General features: G+C 40.6%; 1 protein-coding gene across 6 annotated transcripts in view; it reads left to right on the top strand.

Annotated features, from left to right (window-relative positions):
* The window catches only part of PAX3 (paired box 3), a 99,112-nt gene extending 93,848 nt beyond the window's left edge, over positions 1-5,264 (top strand). For 2 of the 6 annotated variants that reach the window (NM_001127366.3, NM_181458.4), the window contains exons 8-9: positions 2,961-3,207; positions 3,709-5,264. In NM_001127366.3, the coding sequence (NP_001120838.1) occupies positions 2,961-3,207; positions 3,709-3,743 (282 nt within the window). In that variant the 3' untranslated portion in view covers positions 3,744-5,264. Of the gene's footprint in view, positions 1-2,960; positions 3,439-3,708 lie in introns of those variants that run through there. The other 4 variants (NM_181459.4, NM_181460.4, NM_181461.4 and 1 more) reach the window with 4 other exon arrangements.

The following is a 12,436-nucleotide window of genomic DNA, read 5'->3' as shown; positions in this document are numbered from 1 at the left end:
TAATGAATTTTCTAACGCAGCGACTGCCAAAAGTTGCTTCATGAACAACATCATAAGCTGATTTTTGCTTATAGGAAGGACATGTTTCTTCTCTTCTAGGTCCTTCTTGAGTTCCCCCATCCCCTATAATTAGTTATTGCTGCCTTCAAAGTTATGCAAACAAAAAATGTATGGCAGGGGATTTTTTTAAAAAGTTTATCACAAAAATGTACATATAGCTCATGGGAAAGTGTGCATGTTTTGAATAAAATTCTGCTCTGAGCTCATCAAGTATAACTGTACATACAGCATTCCATTTCTCCCTTAAAGTGACATACCATTGACTGAATTTCAAGTAAGTATCTTCATGAAGGACAATATTAATTTAGAGTTTATTTTCCTTTTATTTAGTGCCACTGGATATCTTTCCTCTCTGGACTGATATAGTTACAAAATTGCTTTTTCTAAGATTTCGAATTTTGCTTAACACAACTTATTCATGGTAAAATATTTGCCCTGTGCGATTATTCCCTTTTATTAAAAAAATCACATTTTAAAGTGTTTTTATGTTCATGTCCAATCTCACCCATCAGGATCACACACGAAAATGTACTCCTGATTTGAAAGGAGTGTGTTTGGCACCAAACAACCTCTAACTTAAAGACTCTTTTCTTCTAAAAGAAATGTCTAATTTGGGCTGAAATTTCATAAATAATAAACTAGTGTATCAATTGAAGTTCATGAATTTTCCAAGTATACACTTATATAGAAATCATCTATATAAGCTCAAATAAAGGCAAAAAGAACCCATATAGATGGAAAACATATCCAGGAACTAATTTAAATGCATTCTTAGTTATGTTCAAGTTCTTTTAAGTAGTGAAATGAAGAAATTGCTATAAACAATGCTGGGTAGGGCCCTAAAAGAACCCACATTCTAGTGATTTTCCATCTTCCTGGAATTGTCAATCCTATTGATGCTTACTTTATTTTGTGACTTTCACTTTCTCCAAATCCCCAATAAAACAAAATTGGGCTCTGCCACAAATGATGTTTTGTGTGTTTTTTTTAAAAATATAACTAATTTTTAAAAATTGTAAAAAAGGATGTTTTACCACATATCTCAAAAAATCTTAGATTCCTGGGATGTCTTTCAAAATGTGGGCTTTGCTGTGTTGCTTTGCCCACACCAGCCCACCTTCCCATGTGTGTGCATAGACAATAACTCAAATGAAAGAGAGACAACAAAATGAAAAACAGGATTTCTGGGGAAGGCAGGGACATCCGTTCAAATTTTCTGTTAAAATGGAGGAAGAGTGGATAATTGATAATCCACAGAAGGTGGATCTCTTTTTCTCTGTCTTTTGGGGTCAGCTGAAGATGGATCAGCTCAGAGCTTTAGTTCAAGAAGATTTTACTTAATCATAAGGATTATGCAAACCCTTCCCAAAGGGAATTATGGGATCCTTGTTTTTGGAATCTGAGTTGAGATGCTTTCTGGGAAGCAAAACTAGACCCGCCCCCCGCCTCACCTGCCTCTCAGATTCCTGCCTTACTGGAACTCCTAGATCCGAGGTTCTATTGCCTGAATTATGAGAGTTATTCTGCAGTTAGCATGAGGGCTTATAGTCAGGGCTTGGTTGTCATTTCTGCCCTCTCCTCTTTCTCTTATTTGCACACTTTAATCTCTGTAGGCTTCACACTTCCTAAAATAAGACAGGACTGTTATGGAAATGTTGTGGAATTGTTGGATACTGCATTTAAATACTTTGTAAGTAGATGTGTCTTCGGGGGGGCTCTTGACCTGGCGTTAGATTTCTTTTGCAATTGCTTTTGAACCCTGCCACAGAAGGGTACATAGTTTAGAAAAATCGCTTCCTCTCTCGTGTGGCAGTTTTCCAGCTGCAAAATTAATTATCCACTTACTTTCACCACAAGGTGCTGTAAGGGTCAGGGATCTTGAGTTGGTGAAGCACTTCACCATGTTGATCTGAAAGTTATTCTGTCACAGGATATTTTTTTTTTTCCAAGTTGTCTTACTGTCCAGGTTATTTACAAACTGAACTTTTTAAGACCATGTTTGCATTTCAGGCTTGTCTTTCCTTTTAACACTTCATATATATATATATATATATATATATATATATATATATATATATGAAATGGTTGTTTAGAGAAGAAATAAAATAATAGGTAATGGAGGCTTTTACTTGGAGAATCATTTACATTTCATTCATTCGGCACTTAATATGTGTCAAGCATTCACTGCTTTAGGTGCTGGGATATAAAGATGAATAGATTGCTCCTCTCAAAGCTCTCACCAGTCAAAGCAGGTGACTGAACTAATGAATATACAGTGGGAGGGGTAAATAAAGTACCAGAGACCATCAGGAAAGGAGTAAATATTTCTAATTATCAAAGAATGGCCAAGATAAGGAAAGGGGCTTTCTTGAGAGGGAACACTATTTAAAAAAAAAAAGGCACAGAGATCTCAAAGTACATGAAAAATAACTTGATTTGGATTCATTTATCTTTTAAAAATATAAGCAAATGACTGTTTAAAAATCACATGTGAAACTTCCAGATATAATGTATGAATAGACATTTTTCTGTATGAACAGATACAATTTCTCCCTCTTTTCATCCTTTTTTCCCCCTTCTTTGAAATTCCAGTCTGATTTTATCACTAGGGACGTGGTGTAATCTCTCTCTTTCCTCTTCTCCTTCCTTCTTTTCCTCTTCCCCCTCTTCTCCCCTCTTCTCCCTCCCCCTTTCCTTCTTCTGCAACTGCAGTCAGATGTTATCGTCGGGCATGATGTAATATCTCTGCCACTTAGAATTGGGTTCATAGTCTCCTGGACAGCTCTTTAACCAATTTCCAAAGAAATAAAAACTGGACTGTCAAGTTATTCTTTCAGCTGTAGGCTGCAATCTGGATCTCTCTGCATTTTAACCTCTTCCCAATCTGGCTGTTTTTTTAGGTAATGGGACTCCTGACCAACCACGGTGGGGTACCTCATCAGCCCCAGACTGATTACGCGCTCTCCCCTCTCACCGGGGGTCTGGAACCTACCACCACGGTGTCGGCCAGCTGCAGTCAGAGACTAGACCATATGAAGAGCTTGGACAGTCTGCCAACATCTCAGTCCTACTGTCCACCCACCTATAGCACCACAGGCTACAGTATGGACCCTGTCACAGGCTACCAATATGGGCAGTATGGACAAAGTAAGCCTTGGACTTTTTAGGGGGCAATTTCTCCTGGAAGGGAGATAAACTCAACTCTTCCTTAAGAAAGGTGAATTAGAGGCAAGATTAAGCCACACATGCCGGTATCAATTTTTTTTTTTTTTTGCAAAGCCAGCTGACTGTTCCAGCAGGGGCTTCCTTGTGTAATTATTTTCTTAACTGATGTCAACAACATCTTGCGGTTATTAATTGTTGAGACGTGAAACCTGATTGCCACTAGGTAAAACACAAGGGTTGGCCAAAATGAAATAATCCCTGACATTAGAAACACATGTTCTTAATGAGGTCAGCTCCAGGATCATATGGGGGATAATCCCAGGGACACAAAGTTGTGTCAAACTTGTCTCAGGAATAAAAATATTAGTCTCAAGCCTTTGATAGCACGGTATTAAATATGACATTGTCAGCCTGTAGCTGATCTTGCCCCTGACTGTGAATTGTCCCAGCATGACCTAAAAAGCTGCGTGTGTTTCCTTACAGGTGCCTTTCATTATCTCAAGCCAGATATCGCGTAAGTGAACTGTCCACTTGGAGCTAAAACTGGCCCTGTTTCTGGTCTTCGCAGCCTAGATATGAAGAATCTGCTCTGAAAACAAAAAAAAATTACCCTTTTGTTGGGGGGGGTGGGGCAGTGGTCCCAATAGGAGACAAAGGAGAGTGATTGATTTTCTTCCTCCAATAGTTGGTTTCAAATCCTTTTGAACACGTTCGACAAAAGCAGTGGAGAAGAGGAAGACCTGGAGCAATAAAAGACAAATGCAACATTTTAAGGCAATGGTTTCACATGGTTACATATCAAAACATCCCAATTCTTTAGTGCTGATCATCGAGGAGCTAGAACATTCCATTTGCTTGTGTGCGTGCGTGCGTGTGTGTGTGTGTGTGTGTATTGAGATTTACCCAGACTGGTTTGGGCAAGCAGACTGTTCTAAAATATAATAGAATACCCTAAAGTATAACATGTCGATGTTCGATGCTGATACTTCTACAACTTTAAAACTGCTCATTTCATGAAGCAAGAATGGAGGAATCCTTGACTCTTACACACTGGAAATTGAAATAAAGATAAATGCAACCATTTTTAGGAAGCTAGACTAGCTGTAAAGGACCTCCTAAATAAATTATTTGTTACTGTATCCTCATTTGTAATCTAGTTGTCAATAAATGGCCCGGACATGTCTTGCTAACAGGATATGGGCTACCAGGAAGAAGGACTTGTTTCCCTTTCCTGTGTGGGGAGAGGTGTGTGACGTTTTTCCAGTTCACATTTATTTGGTAGCCCACCTGGGTTGGAGGAAGGGCACGGTGGAGAGAAAGTGACATGCATTCACATATCTGCTTATCAGTGTGCAATACTGTGTACCTCATGGATGCTTTGGCAATGCCCAAGGCGATATAAGCAAAATCAGAAGTATATTTTTGCAGGTGCTTTTATTTTCACAGCCCATAATTCATAGTGATAGAGTGCAGTGATGTTTGCCATTTGCTGGACAACCAACACCCGGGTTGCTCCTTTGATTAGAGACCAGATCAGATAATTATGCTTTTAAACTGATTACGTTTACATTCTTCTCTTTTCTATGAAAGGCAGGGCAAGAACAGAAGTGTTCACATGGCTCTCATGTACTTTTAAATTATACAATGATATCCAATATTAAAAGATTATAGGAACTGAGGTTTACATACGTTTGTGTGGTGACATTTTAGAATGTCAATAAATTTGCTTTTTGAGATGTTGAGAGGAACAAGAAGGTGGAAGGCAGTGTTATTTATTTCTTTCTATTCTTGGAACCACGAATGAGGTAGGCACAAATACATTCCTTTTAGAGTTAAGAACTATGACGTAGCGAGTTAGTGAGACTAGACATAGTACCGAATTTAGTTCATGCATTGGTCTTAGAGGGTGATGGAACAAGAGAAGTACTATCTTTGTGTTGCAGCCTCAACCAACAACAATGTGTTGTAAAAATGTCTTTCATGTAAAAAGTGCAGTAAATATTTACTATTTATAATGAATAAACAGTTATGAAAACTTGCCCACTACTGCTTTTTTGGGGGAACTGGTGAATGTAGTATAAATGAAAACTTGGCAATGGGGAGCCCAATGTACATGAACTTCACTTCTGGTGGACCCTTTCTATGAGAGTATTCTGTCGACAAATAAGGTTACACAACCCACAGTTGTATTCTCTTGAAGAAGCTTGGTTGAACACACTTTTAAGGATTGAAGTTTATGTTTTTATCAGTGTAGCATCTAGAAAAACCCTTCAGTTTAGCTTCCTTCATCTTTCTTTGGTTCTCTCAGAGTTATCCAGTCCCTTTACTGTCACTTAGAGATATGTTTTCCCTGGAGTACCCGGTTCCATCTTCATCTCTAAGTCATCTCCACGGAAATTTTTATTTAAAACTCTCATATTTTATTTATTTTATTTTAGCAGCCTACTTTATTCTTCATGAAAGGTATTACTGCGTACTTCATTCATTCTTCCTTTCTTCCTTCTCCTTCCCTCCCTCTCCTGATCCTTTCTCCTCTCCCTCCCTCCTTCCCTTCTTCCTGAATGTATTTAATGAGAGTCCAAATGTGCCAGGCATGGTGATTGGCACTTGTGTTATAGCGGTGCTTGTAGCCTAGTAGAGAAGGCAGAGAAGTAAATGCATAGTTTCAATAAAGTGTGAGGACTGTTATTTTAGAAGGAATAATCATAATACCTTTTGAAGCTCTTACTTGTATTAACTTATTTATTACTCTCCACATGTCACATGCAGCAAGTGATGTCACTACCATTCCTTTTGTACAGATGAGAAAACTGAGGCTCAAGGAACTTACATGAATCACTCAGTGGCAGAGCTAGGATTTGAACCTAGTACAATCTCAGTGCCCAAGGTGTTTAAACTCATGCTCTTCTGCTTCCTCAAGACTGGTGTGAGAGAACCTTACAGTCAGGAAGATCTAAAAGGGTGCTGTCCAATTCAGAAGCTACTAGCCATGTATCCCTATTTAAATTTAAAGAAACAAAAGTACATAAAATGACAAAATTAGTTCCTAAGTTGCACTAGCCACATTTCAAGTGTGCGATAGTCACACGAGGCCAGAAGCTGCCATACTGGGGATTGTTGCTGTGGGACATTCCACATCACAGGAAAGTTGACTGGTCAGCTGATTGAATGCACGTGAGTTCATAGTTTAACAATATCAAAAACTTGAAATGCAGTGGGTAACATTTTCCAAAGTTGTAAAATGCTTTATTTTTTTTTTTTTAGCTCACACACTTATCTTTCTGATCAAATGTGTTGCTCTTCTTCTGACAATTTTTCCAAAAATAATTTAAGAGGAAAGGAAGTTAATCTTTACAGCACATTTACTTTTATTGTCTTGTTTAATCCTCACAATGTCCCGTAAGGTGGGTGTTATTCACCCAAACTTATAGATGAATGGACTGAGGCCAAAGCTGTTAAGCAGTTGGGCCAACATTACATATAGCCAGAAATGGCAAAAGAAGGCTTTGACTTCTATGCAACCATGTGGCAGAACCTGTTTGTTTTACCCACTTAATTATATCAGTCTATCCTCATGCCAAACTCAAGTTGCAAACAGGCATTTAAAAAAATCATTCACTCCCAATACATGAGAGGAATGCTGCCAGGATTCAGATTACACAAGAGAAACTCATTTTACATGATCAGTTTTCCTTTCTGTCTCCTGATATCAGAACTTGTCATGAATGGCTTATATCTTATTTTGATATACTTCTTTGTGTCCTTTTCTTATTTCTGCATGTCTTTGAAATCTACTTCTCTGCTGTTACTTCTCATGTTGAAAGTCCCTGTAGATCTTTTTTCTCCAGACTCTTAAAATATCTAATCAATTTCTGGGGAAATGTGACCTGATTTCTTTCAGTCAGAGTTCCTACCCTCATTTGCTGGGACAAGCAGCCCTAAGAACTTTGACCCTTTGACATTCAACAGAACTTGAACCTGATTGTATGTGGGGGGTTCCCCCTTGCCCATGTAGTTATTTGATTTCATTTGAAAAATTAAAAGTAAGAGCTGAAAATTAAAACTCAAATTATTAAATTGTGGATGTACCATTGTCAGCTGCTGAGCCATTCCTTGGCAGCAATTTTTCTAGGAATAGATATCATACATTTCACATCTGTGACAGAAACAAGCATATTGTTTTATGCTTTTGATTTAGCCCAGTCTGGAAATGTGTTTTCATACACACTTGGATGCTTGGGAAACATCCTAGGTTAGAAGGGATCTTCATTAGTGCTGGCATATAGAACCAGAGTAAGAGACAAGATCACTGGCTCATGGCTATAAGTTTAGGAAGTCTTAAATGGAGAAGGAGATGGATTCATTAATGCCTTTTATCTGAATATGGCATGGAAGAATCTATCTGAAAACTACATAATTAAGAGTTAAAATTAATACACAGGACCAGAACCAAAGTATCTATAAAAAGGAAATCTATTTACCTGAGCCTCAACCATTCTGAGTGAATGAGTCTTGGTGTTAAGTCATTCATGGATAAGGAAAGCCGGTGTCAAACATGGTGGGCACAGTAAGTGACGAGTGGCAGTATTTGTGCAAAAAGTTCCACATGGCAAGCCTCAGCCTCAGAAAAGTGCTCATGGAGCTGGAAGTCAGTGGTAGATGACGTATGAGAGAAAAGGAAGAAAACAGAGCTGTGTATAGGACTTCTCACCAGATGGCTGTGATATGAGTTAGTTCTCTTTATTCCATAGATCCCCCTTTGGAATTGCTGACCATGGTGTCCCAAGTGCCTAGCACCATGTCTGATCCATTACAGGTACTCAATACATGCCTGTTGAATAAATGAATAAATAAATAGATGAAAAGTGATTTTCTTATACTGTCCCTACATGATCTTCTGAGCAGGGAGACATTTGCATGACCAAAGGTGCACAGATTGCCACCAGGTTAGATTGGTATGAAGTCTTAGGGAAGGAGTGAGAGGCAGCTGGCCTAACAAGTCACTCAAAAGCCATATTTCTGATGATTTTGACTGTAGCAGAGGATACAAGGTGGTGATGTGTGGGATTCACCACTGGGAGGATTAGAACAGAAAAGGGAAATAGCCAGTTGGTTTATTGCTTAGAAAAGTGACTATTAGCCCTGGCTGTTTAGTAATCTGCACATTAAAAACAAAGAGAGAGAGAGAGAGAGAGACCATTGAGACTACTGAACTCAGAATCCACAAAGACAAATGCCAGGAAAGTTGGCAAAGCAGGAGCTCCGGGAGAAGCCTCTGGCTGCATTGCAACCGTGGCCACACCTGACTAGGTAAGTTTTCTGGGGCTTGAAGCAGTAGTCAGGGCTGTTTACCACAGCACACCTGAGATAGGAAATATGGACACAGCTTAGCCTTATCTTCCAACAAACCTCACTACCCCCTCTCAAGCCAGACGGTGAGACATAGAAAGGCAGGAGTTCTGGCCATGGTGCATGAGGAAGAGGGGTGGAGTTAGGAGGAAGAGTCATGCCAAGTTGGTTGCTGTTGTGTTATGATCCCATCGTTTTCCCAGCTGGAGGCCTACAAAGCCCCACCATGCAAAAATGAGGAATGCTTGAGCTCTTCCCCAAGAGGCGTGGCGACATCTTTTTCCCCAGGCTCATGTGCTTCTGTGGCGTTTGGGAGAGTGTAAAGCATGGAGCTGAAAACCTAACTGCCTTTCCATTCTGCTTGTCTGGCATCCCCCACTCCATGCCGCTGAACATACATAGAGCTCCCGACTCTCAAAAATAATCCCCACAAACCCTGACTCTTTTCACTGCTTGCAGAGTTGAGGGAAATGGGCAGTGATTGTTATTTCCTAATTAATTGCTTAATGCATTGGATACTAACCAAGCTCCTATTGTGCAAGTAGGAGCAGTGGAACTCTAACGGTGAATAAAACACAGTTCCTGCTGTTGAAAGACCCCAGGGCAGAGGAATGAGCTGGATAACTCAGGAAAGAGTTGGAACACAAATAACATGTAAGCAAAAGTTAGTATAAGAACCAACGTGTCTGACGTAGGAGCACTTTTCAGAGGAAGTGGGCCTGGGGCTGAATCTCTAAGGATAAGTGGAAATTTATTGGGTAGATGCAGTGGCAAAGGGCATGCCAATTCACTTTTACATGATGCCAGCTCTTAGGTTATCGGATTAAAGGAGCCAGGAGATCAGACAGTGGCTGGCCCCCACTGATTCTCTAATCAGAAGGGTCCGCAGGCAGAGCCTTCTGAGAAATCCTGGTTGATAGGGTCCAGAAGGTCTGAGATGAGGCGCAGTGGGGCAATTTTTTCTTTCCTAAAAACAGATTGAGAGAGTCTCAATCTCAAGGGCCAGTTAAGAAACTCATGGGTGAGCCTGTAATCCCAGCACTTTGGGAGGCTGAGGCAGGCAGATCACTTGAGGTCAGGAAATCAAGACCAGCCTGGCCAACATGGTGAAACCTTGTTTCTACTAAAAAAGTACAAAAAGTAGCTGGGCATGGTGGCGGGCACTGTAATCCCAACTACTCGGGAGCCTGAGGCAGGAGAATCGCTTGAACCCAGGAGGCAGAGGTTGAGGTGAGCCGAGATCTCACCACTGCACTCCAGCCTGGGTGACAGAGTGAGAATCCATCTCAAAAAAAAAAAAAAAAAAAAGAAAGAAAGAAACTAACTCATGGGTGAAGGAACATATGTCTGCTATCATTATCCTCTTCCTAAGCTGACCCCCAAAGTTTGGTAGGGGGGTAATGCTCACTGTTAGTGGCCCAGTTGCATTTTTATAGGTGGACAGCTCTTTATTGGAGGTCTCGAAGCTGCTCCATGCTTGTCCCTGGCATTTGCCTGGGAAGCTGCAATGTTCCTCAATACTTCTACAGATTGTTCCAGGCTTACTGGGATGATCCATTCTTACTAATTATCCAGTTGTGTATAACTGGGGCTTTGCGGAGGACAGGCCCCAAGATCTCTTTGCTCAACTTTGTTGGGTCAAAATGAGAAAAACTGCGGTTTTTTTCTCTTCTATTTTGAGCTCCAAGTTTAAATTCTTCTTTGGGGCACTTTTCCCCTTTGCAAGCACGCTAGTGGGTCTCTTGATGATTGTGTAAAGGGAAAGCAAATATCTGACTCTGAGATGGAGGGTGTACTACACGTAGATGCACATAGAGATGATGAGAAGCTAAGCAGCTTTGTATGAGCATGTCAAAGCTCGTAGGTAGAGTTTTATGTTTGCAGATTATATTTAGTTGTAGGAAACCAACTCCTTCTTTCTGGCTTGGAAGAGTAGAGGCCTGCTCAAGGGAAGGAAACTACTCCCAGAAACACAGGGGCAGGCTGAGGACTCGAGCAGAGGAATGTGGGTCTGGGAGAGCTGCTGTCCTCTCTGGCAATCACGGCTGAGTCAGGATCCCAACAGAAAACAGCCGCCACACTTGAATTGGAAATTTAGAGAAGCATTTCTAATAAGAGACTATTTACAAATGTGAAGTGGTGGAGGGAAATCACAAAGGATGATGTAGAAACCTGAGGATAGTTGGACAGCTAAGGAGTGGGGAGGGTGAGCTTACTGAAACCTGGAAATAAAGAGCCGTGTAGCACAAGTGGTTCTGACAGTGACCTCTGAGGAAGGGATGCAGACATCCAGAGGAAACCTCAAAGGGAGGGATCCAGGGGACAAATGTCCTGGTCTAATTTTCTTCTCGTCTCCCAACTCCTGCTGGGGCTTCCATTGACTGAACCCAGTTAGAACCAGAGGGCACAGGAGTCAAGCGTGTGCTCCATACACCAATCCCCTGCAGAGAGAGAGCCAGGTAGAGAAAGACAGAGAAGGATCTGGGAGAGTCTGCAGCTTATGCCTAGGCTTGAGTTTTCTGTTTTGCAGTCTGCTATGGCCTGAATGTTTGCGTCCCCTCCCCACCCTGCCCCCAAATTTTTATGTTGAAATCCTAATCCCCAGGGTAATGGTATTATAAGGTGGGGTTTTTGGAAGATAATTAGGATTAGATGAGGTCGGTAAGGTGAAGCCCTCATGCATGGGATTAGTGTCCTTACCAATAAGAGTCCCAAGAGAGTTAGCTTCCTCTTCTCTGCCATCTGAGGACACAGTGAGAAGGTGCCATCTATGAAACAGGAAACAGGCTCTCCTTAGACACTAAATCTGCCAGCGCCTTGATCTGAGACTTCCCAGCCTCCAGAACTGTGATAAATAAACTTCTGTGGTTCATAAGCCTCCCAGTTTATGGTAGTCTGTTTTATCAGCCTGAATGAACTATAACACAGTCCCTTTCAGTTATACCCAACCCTTTAAAAAGGCTTAGACAGCCTTAGCCATCATCCTAAGGAATTCAGGGAAGGATCCATGCCCAAGTTGGGGAGAGATGATGCAATGCATACGGACGCTGCTGGAGGAAGGCTAATCTCCAGAGGGCAAGCAGCATTGTGTGCAGCAGCCATTCAAAGTTAGCTGGTTGACTGAGATGACAGAGTGAGATTTAGGAAAGATACAATCTTTTCTCAGGAATTCCCAGAAGTGTTTGGAGGAGAGGAACCTGTTCAAACGCTGTACTTCTTATCAGTAAGCAGTATGGCTCTTTGCACTACAAGAAGCTGGATATGAAAAGGAAAGGGAGAATGGTCCTTTTTAGTCACCATACCAGGAGATCTGGAACACCAGACTTACCCATAGGAACAGTTTCATAACTGTTTTAGATTTGTCTATTTCCTCCATAGTTTAAGTTTTTGGAAGATAAGGACAGTGTCTTGGTCATTCTTGCATTTCCAACTTTGTGTTGTTCACTGTCAACCTGTCTGACATGCTTATTGAATGGAATTAAATTGTTGCTTACCATGTATGCTTGATTATTATGCAGCACATGAATAGTTCTTTACACCTTAAACATAACAGATTTACTTGTTTTCAGCTGCAATTGATTTAAATACTAAAATTCTGTAATTGTGTGTTTTAGTCTTTGTGGTTTTCTGATAATGTAAAAGAGATGGTCCATTACAATTGGAGAAGAAAATACAGAAGGCATTTAGGATGTTATAGAATTCACTGCATTTACTCTACATCCCAGGTGTTTGGGAGATAGACAAAACAAATCATGATTCCTACATTCAAGAAGCTCTAATATATGGATAAACTTAAAATATAGTTTGTATGATTATATGATAAAAGCTAAAGTTTAGTTAATTTTTATACTGGAAATAAAGA

This window comes from Homo sapiens, chromosome 2, assembly GCF_000001405.40.
Source record: "Homo sapiens chromosome 2, GRCh38.p14 Primary Assembly".
Classification (NCBI taxonomy): domain Eukaryota; kingdom Metazoa; phylum Chordata; class Mammalia; order Primates; family Hominidae; genus Homo; species Homo sapiens.
The sequence above is the reverse complement of the archived record's forward strand: the minus strand, read 5'-3'. Positions and strand labels throughout refer to the sequence as shown.